Raw genomic sequence first — 14,867 nt, 5'->3', positions numbered from 1 at the left:
AGGCACATTGAACAATAAAAAGAAAAAGAGCTAGCTGGACTAAAAAACTGAATGAAGGCCAATATATCAAGAATATAATGAACAAGCGGGAGAATGGTAAGATTAAGCCAGAAAAGCGGTAAGAATCATGGAGGGCCCTGTCAGCCAAGTGTATTAATTGGGATTGGCTACATTATGCCAAGCAGTAACAATTGGGAGGAAGAAAAAAGAGCACAGATATCAGGAGATAGAGAAAATCTGGGAGTTATAGTGAACCCTAAGCTCAATAAAAGTTATAAAGGTAGCATGTGAGAATGGTGCCCTTAGGAGCACTTGCACATGTATGAAATGTGGGGGTCAGGGATCAGCCCTTTTGTTTTAAGCAGGCTTGGTTGAACTCTAATTGTGTCTAGATTTAGTCTTCTCACTTTCAAGTGTGTGTGGAAAAAACAGTAGAGGAGATTTGGCAAAGAGCAATGAAGAAAGTTGAGTTTGCATAACCAGCCCAGAAAAAGAAAGACAAAATAGCTGTCTACGAGCTTATTGATGTTTATTGTGAAAGGAACCCCAGCCAGAGGTTGCGTCATTCACAGGAGAAACGGTGAATAGAACCCTGAAGTCTGATTATCTCTGTCCTCAGAATCCCCATGATGCAGTCCATGCCACCTTCATCATCATCTCGGTGGTGTTCATGGTTCCCCTGCATTGGTCCAGGGTACTTCACTGGACCAACAATTCAGTTCAAACTTCCTTCAGCTTCCCCATGGAGTCATGGGAGATTTTTACGGGCTTCCCTGCCCCTAGAAGAATAAGTTGCAGCCCCTCCCCTCTAAAAGCTCTGATAGCAGGAGAAAATACCACGTTTGAGTAGTTTGGATGTTTGCTAATCTAAAGATGAGGAATTGATAAGACAGGGACATGGAACTCTTTCTGTTTTTATAATTCCATGGGCACTAAACTGTAGTCATGAGTCAGAATCCTACATTTTTCATTAAGGCTCTGTAGAGAAATCTCCAAAAAGATTTCTGTCTCCTGACTTTTTTGGTCCAGTTTCCAAATATCTTCATCAGTGGTCAGGAGGAAATAATGCAGTTTAAACAATAAGAATAATATTAGTAATAATAATCACTGTGAGCTTTCATCAAGTACTACTAAACAGCAGATGCTGTGCTGCACATCTGTTCCCATATATCTACTGTTGCATAGATAAACCACTCAAAAATTTGGTGGCTTTTTAAAAACATCATTTATTTAGTTTATGAATCTGGCATGTCAGCCTGGACCAGTGGGGAACATCATCTTTGCTTCATCTGGTGTCAACTGGGGAAGCTCAAATGGAGTCTAGGAGTTCATTTCCAGGATTCTTCAGATATGTGGCTGGTAAGTTGGTGCTGCTTGAGCGCTCAAGCAGGGTGGGAGGCCAGGATTCTCAGTTTCTTTCTTTCTTTCTTTTTTTTTTTTTTTTTTTTTTTGAGACAGAGTCTTGCTCTTGTCAACCAGGCTGGAGTGCAATGGCACAATCTCAGCTCACTGCAACCTCCGCCTCCTGAGTTCAAATGATTCTCCTGCCTCAGCCTCCTGAGTAGCTAGGATTACAGGTGCTCACCACATTTTTGTATTTTTAGTAGAGACAGGGTTTTGCCATGTTGGCCAGGCTGGTCTCGAACTCCTGACCGTATGATCCGCCCGCCTCAGCCTCCCAAAGTGCTGGGATTACAGGCATAAGCCACCGTGCCTGGCCTCTCAGTTTCTTTCTATGTGGGCCTCTCCATGAGCTGCTTGGGCTTCCTCACAATATGGTGGCTGGTTTCAAAAACAAACAGGACAAGAGGACCAGGTAAGAACTGCATCACCTTTTATGACCTAGCCGTAGATGTCACATAGTGCCATTTCCACCATACACGTGAGTTCAGATTTAAGATAGTGGAACACAGAGCTCATCTCTTGATGAGAAGAGTATCAAAATCACATTGTAAGGCAACCATGGGGATTGAAAATATTGTTGTGGCCATTTTTAGAAAACACAATCTTCCTCAGAGGCATTATTCCATTTAATTCTCATGGCATCCCTGTAAGGCAGATAGTGTTAGCCTTCCCTTTACCAATGAAGAGACAAAGAACTTTTGTTACTTGCCTCTGATCAAAGCACTATCATGTGACAGACTTAACCTAAGTTCTCTGTGGCCCCCAATCCTTCCTCCTTAAATGCTATTTTATGCCATCTTCCACAAAACAGCTACAACTTCTGACTTGGAGCGATGGAATTAGAGCCAACTCTGTCACTTAGCTTTGTGATTTTGAGTCAATTCTCCACATGTCTTTGGTTCTCAGTTGCCTTTTATATAAAATGGGAGCTAAGAATAGCTCCTTGTTAATAACTCTCTAAGTCTGTTTCATGATTAGATGAGATAACAAAAGTGAAGAGTGATGCATAGCCTAATAGGTGATCTTAAATATTTGGAAATATTAAATCTCATGTACTTAGTATTACTTAACATTCAGTAGAACTCTTAGAGTGACCACCATTCTGATAATTTCAGCTAGTACCCATCTGTATCAGTTAGGTTGACATTGGACTTCTAGTCAGAGACACAAAATAATAGTGGTCCGAAGAGATGAGCTGTTTGTTATCACTCACATTAAAGTTTGGGATTGAGCTAGGATAGAAAAGTGAAAGGTTTATGTGGACAAACAAAAATGCCTAGTGACCAAGAACCATTTACCTTCTTCATCAACCCACTGAGAAAATTTTCCAAAAGCCCTCAGATTAGGGCATGTCCTACAACCACTAAATTGAATTTGATTCAACTGGTTGGAAAGGCAAACATCAAAAATTCTCTAGCTAAGTTCAATAACTTTTAGCAAAAGCATGACCTTCAAATGTTGTTGGACATACTCTGAATAAGAAATGAGAATTATATCACAATGTAATATACATATGCTTTTAATATCAATATAAAACAATTTTATAAAATAATTCCTACACTTACCATATACAACAACCCTCATATTTTCTATTTTACTCCATTTTGTTCTAGTCTGTTCAATTTCATTAGTTAAAAAATCAAAAATGCCCATAATCCAATGAACTGATTTCACAGCCTACTAATGAATTAAGGAAATCATTTGAAAAATACTGAGCTAAGCTAGGCATGGTGGCTCACACCTGTAGTCCCAGCTACTCAGGAGGCTGAGGTGGGGAAACTAGCCCAATTGTCCCATAGAATTGATGTTCACTGGGTTTTTTTTTTTTTTTTTGGATAAACATAGAAATATACTGTCTTGGTCTTAAAGCTTGAAATGCATTTGTCTTATCTGAGTTCCTTCCTCAGAATACCAACTGTCAGACCTCCCAGATGGTATCAAGGAACTGAAACTCACCAGATCACTGCATCTAGACAATGAGACACCAGACCCCTCACTCATCATGATTGCCTAACTGACCACCTGCTTCCTGTAGACCAACTCCTCTTCCTTACCCCTCCATAATTCCTGTTTCCTACACTTAGTTACATTCCTACCCTATGATATAAATGCCCCAATTGTAGTTGGTCAGCGAGACAGATTTGAGACTAAGATTTCCTTGGCTGCAGCACCCAATTAAAGCCTTCTTCCTTGGCAATACTTGTTGTCTCAGTAATTGGCTTTCTGTGCAGCAAGCACCAGCACCTAGAATAAACTAGTGTTTTGGTAACAGCAGGAGGATCACCTGAGCCCAGGAGTGAAAGACAAGCCTGGGCAACAAAGAAAAACCCTGTTTCTTTAAAAAAAAAAAAAAAAAAGAAAGAAAGAAGGAAAGAAAGAAAGAAAGAGAAAAGAAAAAGAAAGAAAGAGAGAAAGAGAGAAAGAGAGAAAGAGAGAAAGAAAGAAAGAAAGAAAGAAAGAAAGAAAGAAAGAAAGAAAGAAAGAAAGAAAAAGAAAGAAAGGAAAGAAAAAGAAAGAAAGAAAGAGAAAAACTGAGTGGTTTTGTTTCTTATTACAGCAAACTAAAACTCACTCCCCACTTGGATTTCAGCAATACTTAGTGAATGGTGCACCTATACAATAAAGACAAGTCACACAATGATTAAAGTAGTAGAATTTTGACAATAGTTTGCTCTACCCAAATGCAAAATATATATTTTTTTCTTTTTTCTGGTCATAAAACATAGGGAACTTCCAGTTAACCCTGGAAGGTTGAACAAAAGCACTTATCAGTGCTCCTTCCTCAAACCCTTCTAAAATGATTTAAAGTGAGGTGGGGTGGGGCAGGAGGGATTAAAAAGAGACAAGGAGAATGGGAAAGTCGATTGCAGCAACAAAATTTGGGGAGGTGGTAGAGAGCTGATGAAGGAGTTGCAACAAATAATAGACTTCCTGACTTATGCACACCTGAGAAAGATAATTCTAACCTGGTCATGGGAGTGCCCAGAAGCAAAACCTCAGAACCCATGAAGTCTACAATTCTGGAGGTACCTACTCTACAGAATGGGAGCCCAGCTGGGCCTGAATTGAACATAGGGGAATTGGATGCAAACCTATGGAGGAAGATACACTTCCAGAGAGCTGCATGTCCCTCACTGTGTTAGAAGACTGAGCTTGACTCTCTTGGAAATAAAGTAGAACGTTTCTGGCCTGGGGGATACCAGGCACATGGGAGGACAGGTGTCCATACTACAAATAGTTCATTTTATGGAATTTCCATACTGAATATTGGAACCCTCAAACCTATTTACCCCCAGACTCACTGGCCAATAAATATACTGCCCAAAAGGAAATGAGAAGCTTATTCTCTGGGAAATTTGACCAACACAAGAGAAAGGACCTAGATCCTGACATCAAGAGTTCTCCTATGATGACCCGAAAAGATTACCACACAGTGGAACCCATAAGTGATAAGCCTTAACTATATGCTCAACATTTCCAATCTACTTTTCAATGCTCCACTTTTAAATTTCAGCAGACAGCTAAGGATCCCCAGACATGTAAGAAAAGCTCTAGCATGAAGTAGATCCCCCCTAAGAAAAAAACAGATCAAAGTAAATTAGAGGAAACAGAGCCCATGTAGAAAGACAAAAATTATACCAAAAAAGTATCTTTAATATTTTCAGAGAAATCAAATGAAGCTATTATATCAATGAATCTAAAACAACATTATGTAGAAAGGGAACGATCAGAGAACAAAAAATGAGCTCTTAAGAATTTAAAAATATGCTGGGCATGGTGGTACTTGCCTGTAGTCCCAGCTACTGAGGAGACTGAGCCAGGAGGACCACTTGAGTCCAGGATTTCAAGGCTGCAGTGCCCTATGTGATCCCACCTGTGAATAGCCACTGCACTCCAGCCTGGGTAGCATAGCAAGCCTCTGTCTCTTAAAAAAAATAATTAAAAATATGATAGTAGAAAAAAACTCAGAAGAAGTTTGGGAAGTATAGCTCTTCTAAAAAAAAATAAAAGAGTTAGAATTTAAATTTTAAAATACCTTTAAAATTAGAAGATCAGTCCAGGAGGGTCCATAACCAGCAATGAAAGTTCAAGAATGTAAACACAGAGAGGAGAATATTCTTTTTTAAAGTAAATAAATTAACTCAATAAGGTTTACCAGAACTGAAAGACATGAGTCTCCAGGTTGCAATCCCATATCAAATATTCTTCAAAATAGGTGAAAATAGATTTATACCAAGGCTTATTATTTGGGAATTTTAGAGTATTGGAAACAAAGAGAAGGCTCTAAACATTTCCATAAAGAAAATAAAATTGTGTATACAAAGGATTAAGAATCCTTTGTTGTTGGACTTCTCAACAACACCACCAAAGCTAGAAAAAAGTGTTTCCAACCTGAAATTCTGTATTCAGCAAGATGTCGACAAGCACAAGGATAAAATAAAGACATTTTCAAACTTTTGAGGCCAAACTTTTGTGTCTCTTTTGGGTACACTTTTGCAGAAAGCAACTTGAGAGGTGCTTCCCTACATGGATTTTACAAGTTGCTGGTGAATGGTACACCCACACAATGAAGAAAAGGCACAGAATAATTCAAGTAGTGGAATTTGAAAATATAGGTTTTTCTACCCAAATGGAAAAAAATCTTTATTTTTTTTTCTGGTCTTAAAATATGGGGAACTTCAGGTTAAACCTGGAGACCGAATGCAAGTATTGATCACTATTTCTTCCTCAAACCCTTCTAAAATGATTTAAAGGAGCGGAAATTGAAAAGAGGCAAGGAAATTGCAGGGGTGGAGGCAGTAAATCAAGAAAGAAAGATGTGAGATCCAGAGCACATTCTTTTGAGGTGAGATCCATCCCAAAAGAAAAGCAGAAAGAACCAGATGGCAGTTCAGGGAGCTTCTAGGGTGGCCGAGCAGGTCAGGAGAGAGGCCTGCAATCTTGGGACAAGAGGACGGGGACATCTAGGAGGGGTGTCATCAAGATGATGAAACTGCTCCCAAAATACTTGAATGTCCTTGAGGCAGGAGACTGGCAGGACTTATTTTTGAGTCACAACCCCGCTGATGGAAGCAGGATCTAGTCAGAACAGGATGCAGGGAAGAAGCCACCCAAAACCAGCAGACAGCAATGAAAGCAACCTCCAGTTGGCCTAACTGCTCATTACCATGAAGACACTTCCACTAGTGCCATGGCAGCTTGTAAACGCCATGGCAACAAGCCATGGCAACAGCCTGGAAGTTAACTTAAATGGTTCCTGAAACTTCCCGCCTCTTTTCCAGAAACTTCTCAATAACCCACCTCTTAATTAGCATGTGATTCAAAGTGGTATAAATACAGTTGCCAGCGTACACTGCTGATGCTGGGCACACTGCCTATGAGCCAGGCACTGCTTGTTAAAAGTTGCTTTCTCTCACCACTGACCTTGAATTCTTCCCTGGGTGAAGCAAAGAACCCTCTCATGCTAAGTCTCAATTTTGGACCTTCCCTGCCCTGCATCATCTTGAGAAGAAACAGGATCCCAGCAGAAAGCTTGAAAATGAATGAGTGATTTTCTTTTAATAACAAGCAAAAGTTTTTTAAAAAGAGACTATTACCAACTTTGGAGGAGAAGTTGTACATGAATAGAAATATAAGTCTACACAGCACATGGTGTGGCTTGGCTGCAAGTGGTATTGACCTAGAGTCATAATAATGTGCATATCTCACATTGACTAACGATATGACCACAGTGGAATGATGAGGGATGGAAGGAAGGTACGGAAGGGGTCTGAATCCTCATCTTCCACAGCAGGAAGTCAATATATAATATCTAAAACTAATCAATAACAAATAACAGTAAAACCACTCAATTTAAGATGGAGTAATAAATATCAAACCTGGCTCTGCTCTTCATTAGCTGTTACTAAATCTCTATGAACCCCAGTCTCCAATCCCTAAAACAGTGCTCTATAAGAGTTCAGAGTTGTTACCTTCTAATACTGGTGGGGGTGAGGGAGGTGACAAGGTAGAATATCTCTCTTATTACCGGCCTTATGGGACTGTATGATTTTTTAAACAATATCCCTGTATGACTTTGTATTTGTGTAAAATATATATTTAAAGAAACCATCTGCATTTATAAAATTTAAATTTAAAAACTAATAAAAGGAATTCAGGCATATGTAAAATAGAATGAAGAAGCTTTTCTGAAACTCTTACCCCCAGAGATATCAACTAACTGCTTAATATATGTTCCCTTCTGAATGCAATTAAACTAAAATGGTACCACATTAAACCATATTGTAAAAATCCATTCTTCTCAAAGAACAATATCTCTTGGATGTCTCTCTTTGTTGATACATGTGGGCAATCTCAAAAACACTATTGTGAGGACAATATTAATGACTGCCGAGCAGAGCCATTTTGGGGATTAAATGCTTATGAGACACTGAATGTGGAATCACTGTGTAAATTATAAAGCAAGATAAGTAGTGTTGGTTATAGCTATAATTATAGTTAAAAATATAGAAAATTTGATCTGCAGCCAAAGTGCTTGATTAAGTGGTGTACTCCATGATCAACAGATATTCTCATTCATCATACCCAGAGATCACAGAAATCACAGGAGAAGCTGCTGGGTTTTCAGAGTACACCTGAATTAGAGCATGCCGTGCGTTATTTAAAACCAGGAGAAACAGCCTAACAGATGTTCTAGATAATGGCTGTTTGTCATCGATATTATCTCCTTTGTCTGGGAACATGTACTCATGTTTATAGAAGCCTCTCTTGGGTTCCACATACTGCATAATGATGGAAATGATTCTTTAAAATGCAGCTGCTGGACTATATTCTTTCAACTGTGAATCTAGTGTGACCAAAACACAGCTTTGGGCTCACAAGCCAACTGGTGGGCCTGACGTGGTGCAAAAAGCAGTGTGCAACCTAGCTGTGCTCCTTCTTACCTGTTACTAAATCTCTATGAACCCCAGTCTCTTGATCCCTAAAGTGGTACTAACAAGGCTTTCCATTCAAATTTGTTATGCAGATAAGAGATAATATGCATGATGTGCCCAGCATATTGGAGGCATTTACTAAATCAAATCTATTACTAGTTTGTATGTATTTATGTGGAAGTAATGCTAGGAGATAACTTCATTTGCTTAAGCTAAAGCAGTGAAAAGAATTAATTCCTAGACCCATCAAACTGAATTTGAATTCTTCCCATATTAATTTTACGTCTGTACACCTAACGGCAACCAAAATCTATAGCAAGTAGGCCATTTACTTTGGTGTCCAACCCAGGTCTGAGTCCAGGCTCAGCAAACTTAGAAACAAGAGGCCTTGGGCAAATTACCTAATACCCTGAAGCTCAGTTTCCTCATCTGTAAAACACGGATAATAATATACACCTTAGAGTATTGTTATAAAGACATAGTGAGGGCATACTTGTAAAGTATCTATCACAGTACCTGCTTCATTTTAAGTGATCCATCAAACATAGCTATTGCTATTATAAGACTCAGATCCTCTTAATATCTCTCACTAACAGGAAGACACTACTGCAGGCATTTCCCAAGGGGAAACATACTTGCAGGCTAGTAGATATTAAAGAGTTGACATGCTTTTGTAATGAAAGAATAACAGAGGTTTCGTGTCAATATTAGTGTGCTGATGCATTATACTCCGCAGGCAATAAAAGACTGTAAGTAACTTTCTTTTCAGGCTTTAATACGTTTAAAATGAAAAGGGTCTGACAGCAAATTGTTTTTATGTTAACTAAATTAACCAAAAACAAAAGCAGCAAGAAGGAATAAAGGAAAAAGAAGTTTGTAAACCTTAGAATCTAGCCTTGACTCTGTTCTAATTCGCTGAATGACCTTGGACAGGCCCAAGTCTTTGTCTCTTTGCTTGCAAAATGAAAGTGTCCCTCTGTCCTTGCGAGAATTCAGCATTTTCTTGGAGGTCTTAGTCAATGCAATGAGATGAGGAAAAGAAGTTAAAGGTGTAAGAATGTTAAACAATGGGTCAACATTGTGATTATTTTGCAGACAATATAATTATCTACATAAAAAATTCTAGAAGATGTGCAGACTGTTAGAATTAATAAAAGAGTTCAAGAAGATTTTCATATGCAAGACACACTAAAAATTAGTAATGTTCTTTTACACCAGTAATGACCAATTCTTGGAATCAGAAAAGAAAAAATCTCTTTATCATAGCAAAACACTACAAGACGCCCAGGAATAAATTTAACAAAAGATGCACACAACTTTCATGAGGAAAATTATAAAATGTTATTAAAAGACATGAAATGAGATTGAGAAGATGTTGAGGTGAAACAGGTCCATGTTTGAGAAGACTCAATATTATAATGATAGTGATTCTTCCCAAAACTAATTTATAAATTTGACAGGGTTTCAATCAACACTCAAACCAAACTGTTTTTGAAATTTGATACACTGACTCTACAATTTATACAGAATTATAGTTTATAACAAAGGGTGATTTTTGGCCCCAGTGGACATTTGGCAATGTCTGAAGTCCAGGTGTAGAGACCAGAGATGCTATTCATCATCTAGAGCACACAGGACAGACCCTACCACAAAGAATAATCTAGACCCAAGTACCAATGGTACCAAAGTTGTGAGGCCCTAATATAAACAAGCAAAGGCTCTGGAATGGATAAAGACTAATTTGAAAAAGAACACAGAGGGAGACTTGCCTGCAGTTATCAGAACTTAATATAAAATGTTAGTAAATATTAATAAAACTATGTGGAAGCAGTACAGGGGTAGACACATTTGTAAATGCAGCAGAATCGAAAGCCAAACCCACACATAGATGGGATATGAAAGAGGGCAGCTGGACAGCCACCAGCTGTGTGGCCTTAGGCAAGGCACTTAACCTCTCTGTGCTTCCTTCATTCCCTAAGTTCAAAATGAAGATAAAAGTACTACCTCCCTCATAACTAGTGGGAAAATTTGATAGTTAACCCAGGCAATGTGTGAGAACACAACCAGAACCTGAGAAGGCTGGCTATTGTTGATATTGTTGCCTTCCTGGCTGGGCATCATGGCTCACACTTGTAATCCCAGCACTTTGGGGAGCCAAGGAGGGTGGATCGCTTTAGCTCAGGAGTTCAAGACCACCCTGGGCAACATAATGAGACCCTATCTCTACAAAAAATACAAAAAAATTAGCCAGGTACAGTGGCGCGCCCCTGTGGTCCCAGCTACTCAGGAGGCTGAGGTGGGAGGATTGCTCAAGCCTGGGAGGCAGAGGTTGCAATGAGCTGAGATCACATCACTGCACTCCAGCCTGGAAGACAAAGCGAGATCCCATCTCAAAAAAAAAAGTTGTTGTCTTCCTAATGAATGTTACTTGTCCTACTCACCTAAAGGATTAATTGGACTGGGGGAAAAAAGGTAGTCAATTCTCAATTATCCATACTATTGGAAACAAGCAGTAACACAGAATATACATACCACAACTAAGGACAACCTAAAACTGCACTATCCAAGATAATAGCCACCAGCGACATGAACCTATTTAAGTGTTAAAGTTAAATAAAATTTAAAATTCAGTTCCTCAGTAGCAGTAGCCACATTTCACAACCCAATGTTACATGCAGCCACCACCACCATACTGAACAGAACAGAGGATAAATATGTGCATCATCAGAACAGTAAGCTCTGTTAGACAATGCTGATCTAAAAGCCATATGTGAAAAATGTACCTCCCTACTTCTATATGAAAAAAATATGCATTCTCTAAGAACAGGTAAGTAGGTTTCGGGGAGGTAGGTAGGTCACAGGTGAGGGGTCTTTCTTGGGTTACCATTACACACAGCAAATCACATATTCTACTTTGTAACCTACTTTGGCTTTTTCTTCATTTAAAAATATTTTATTTTACATTTTTAAAACTTACTTCAATGGAACAGCCCTTTAAGATGCAAATCTGGAAGTCAGGCACAGTGGCTCATGCCTGTAATCCCGGCACTTTAGGAGGCTGAGGTGGGAGGATTGCTTGAGCCCAGGAGTTAAAGACTTGTCTGGGCAACATGGTGAGACCTCGTCTCTATAAAAAATCAAAAAATTAGCCAGGGTTGATGATCCACACTTATAGTCCCAGCTATTCTGGAGGCTGAGGTGGGAGGATTGCTTGAGCCCAGAAGTTCAAGTAAGCCATAATCATACCACTGCACTCCAGACTCGGTGACGGAGCAAGACCCTGTATCAAAACAAAAAAGAAAAAGTAAAAATAAAAACTCATTTCTGTGGGGAAAAAATTCAGTTAAAGACATCTGGATAGCTCAGCATTACCAATTAAGATGCCACTATGGGTGGCACCGTGACTCATAAGAGAGGGCCATGGTGCTGGGCCATTTGCACACGAATATCCTGGTCTGAAGTCATTACAAATCCAGTATGTTTGCGACTCAGTAAGATGTCCTTACTTAGTTTTTCTATTACTGTTATCATGGTGGATCAAAACAGACAGATGCATTTACTGGTTCCCCTCTAACGATAATAAAAAGAAACAGTTTATAAAATCAGATTATATGAAAAATTGCCTAATGATAATAATTTATAAGCTCATTGTGGAATAATGATGTATTCAAGAGTTGTCGTTATATGATGAAAGAAAGGTAATATGAAAGATTTTCTCTGTGAAGAATGACTACAGATGAATTGCACCGAGATACAATTCTCTGATAAGGGACAATAAGAACCTCTAGAACACTTCATAATAGACTACTCAGGGTGAATTGAGGATTGCAATAAAAGCCCATAAATTAAAAAGTTTCCATATGATTTCTGATAAAAGACATGCCAAGGTGAAATAAAGAATCATTGGAATCAACTGATATCCTGCCTGTAGCCAGCAGGTCATGAAGGAAAAGTTTCTAGGAAACTATAAAAAATATAATTTCTTAAGCTCAGAATTTTCAAAACCTGGGTTTCAACTACATCTGTTTAGAATTGTTCTGCTAGGGAAAAGAAAATTTTAGAAAAGAAGAAGTAAGGTTTCAATGCAATTCAAACTGCATCCATTCTCATGTCAAGACCTGGGGAAAATGTGGTAGATGGTGTCTACAGTATAAGCACATCTTGTTAATCTGTTGGATGACTTCAACAAGCTCACATTTTTTTAACAGATGAAGAACCAGGCCACAAATGAGAAAAACAAGCAACAGGGAAGCTAAGTAAAGTGTCCAAGGTCACATATGTACAAAGTAGTGAAGCCACAATTTCAACCCCAGCAGGCTGACAGCAGGATGAGAGCTTGTGATCACCACTCTATAGTTGCCTGAATGCAGCATATCTGTCCCAAGCCACACTACACAGCAGCCAATAGAATGAGGTGAAGCCAGACATTCCTGGGTATAAAGTTCTTCAAGACATATCAAGCTAAAAGAAAAAGAAAGTGTGGGAGGGGAGATGGAGAAAGGAAGTTGCAAAATAATACATATGATCACAAGGATTAGACAAATCCTGAAAACAAGATGATGCCTTTTTTACATGCATGTTTGTGCATGTAAACACATAGAAAATATATGTACACCAAATATCTAGAATATACACCAGAACGGAACTGCAGGTACATTTGGGAAGGGCGGTGGGTTTGAAAGTGAAGAGGGAGAGGGGTTCAAATGGTATTTTCACTTTTTTCTCTGTGCACTTCTTTATTGTCTGATGTTTTCTATGATGATAATATATTCTTGAATTATTTAAAAATTAAATAAATAGCCTATGTGTGCATAAATATGTAGCACCTCCCCACACAGAAATATGACTAGACAAAATGACTACCTTAAAGTCATAAAATCTTTTAAAACATTACCAATTTGGATAAAAGAGGCAAATGCCATTCTATTACTTGCTAGAACTTACAAGTCATTCAGTCAGGTTATTAGTGATTTTTTTTCCAAACAGACGTCCCACAAAAGGAAGGGTGTGGGAGTCCAGGAAAGCATGGACTAGAACAGACCCAAGCTTGTGTCAAGACAAGCATACCTCCACGTCCTTCTCTGCACAGTAAGGATCAATAATCACGCCCCTGCCCAGGAGGGCTTCTGGCATCTAGTCCTTAAAGGCATGGGATGGCAGCATCAGGATGATTCCTGGAGCAGTCTGGGTTGTGCTTGTGCATTTCACCGAGCTCTCTGCTCTCCCAAAGATCCTGTACACTATCTGATATAGTTTCAGAAAACCAGCCAGGTATAGTGGCTCATGCCTGTAATCCTAGCACTTTTTTTTTTTTTTTTTTACTTTGAGATGGAGTTTCACTCTTGTTGCCCAAGAGTGATGGAGTGCAATGGCGTGATCTCGGCCCACTGCAACCTCCGCCTCCTGGGTTCAAGCGATTCTCCTGCCTCAGCCTCCCCAGTAGCTGGCTTACAGGCACCTGCCACCACACCTGGCTAATTTTTTGTATTTTTAGTAGAGACAGGGTTTCACCAAGTTAGCCAGGCTGGTATTAAACCCCTGATCTCAGGTGATCCACCTGCCTCGGCCTCCCAAAGTGCTGGGATTACAGGCATGAGCCACCTCGCCCAGCCCAATCCTAGCACTTTGAGAGTCCAAGGCAGGCAGATCACTTGAGCACGGGAGTTCAAGACCAGCTTGGGCAACAGGGCTAGACCTCATCTCTACTAAAAATACAAAAAATTAGCTGGGTGTGATGGTGTGCACCTGTAGTCTCAGCTACTTGGGAGGCTGAGTCAGGAGGATCACCCAAGCACAGTGAGCCAAGATCGCGCCACTGCATTCCAGACTGAGCTATGGGAGTGAAATCCTGTCTCAAAAAAAAAAGACAGAAGTCCATAAATCCGAGTTTCTTAACCTCAGCACCATTGACAGTTTGGGCTGGGTAACTCGTTGCTGTCGGTGCTGTCCTGTGCACCGTAGGATGCTGAGCAGTGTCCCCATCCTCTACCCACTCAATGCCAAAAGCACCTTTCTCAGTTTTGATGACCCAAGTCTCCAGACATTCCCAAATGTCTCCTGGGGGACAAAGTCACCCCTGTTTGAGAACCATTGCCCTAAGTTATTATACTAGCCAAAGCTGATATAAGCCCATCGTCATGGCACCTTCTGAATAGAAGACCCCTATTTTATATACTCCCACAAATAAATATAAAATTGCTTCCAAGTAGAAGTATGTGGAAAATAAAAATAAAATTTAAAAAATACAGTAGGGCAACTATAGTTAACAATAATATAATGACTATTTCAAAATAGCTAGAAGAGAGGTTTCCAATTGTTCTCACCACAAAGAAATTATAAATGCATGAAGTGACAGATATGTTAATTACCCTGATTTGATCATTACACAAGGTATGCATGTATTAAAACATCATATTATACCCATAAATATGTACAATTATTATGTGTTAATTTTAAAAATAAAACAAAATAAAAAGTATTGGTGCAATTAGACATATCCACTGAAGTTCAATTTTAGGAGACATAAGC

General features: G+C 39.2%; 1 long non-coding RNA gene across 1 annotated transcript in view; it reads right to left on the bottom strand.

Annotated features, from left to right (window-relative positions):
• The window catches only part of LINC01727 (long intergenic non-protein coding RNA 1727), a 45,699-nt gene that overhangs the window by 13,159 nt on the left and 17,673 nt on the right, over positions 1-14,867 (bottom strand). The window lies entirely within an intron of this gene.

The sequence above is a fragment of the Homo sapiens genome, chromosome 20 (assembly GCF_000001405.40).
Source record: "Homo sapiens chromosome 20, GRCh38.p14 Primary Assembly".
In the NCBI taxonomy this organism is placed as follows: Eukaryota; Metazoa; Chordata; class Mammalia; order Primates; family Hominidae; genus Homo; species Homo sapiens.
This window is presented reverse-complemented; position numbering and strand designations above follow the sequence as displayed.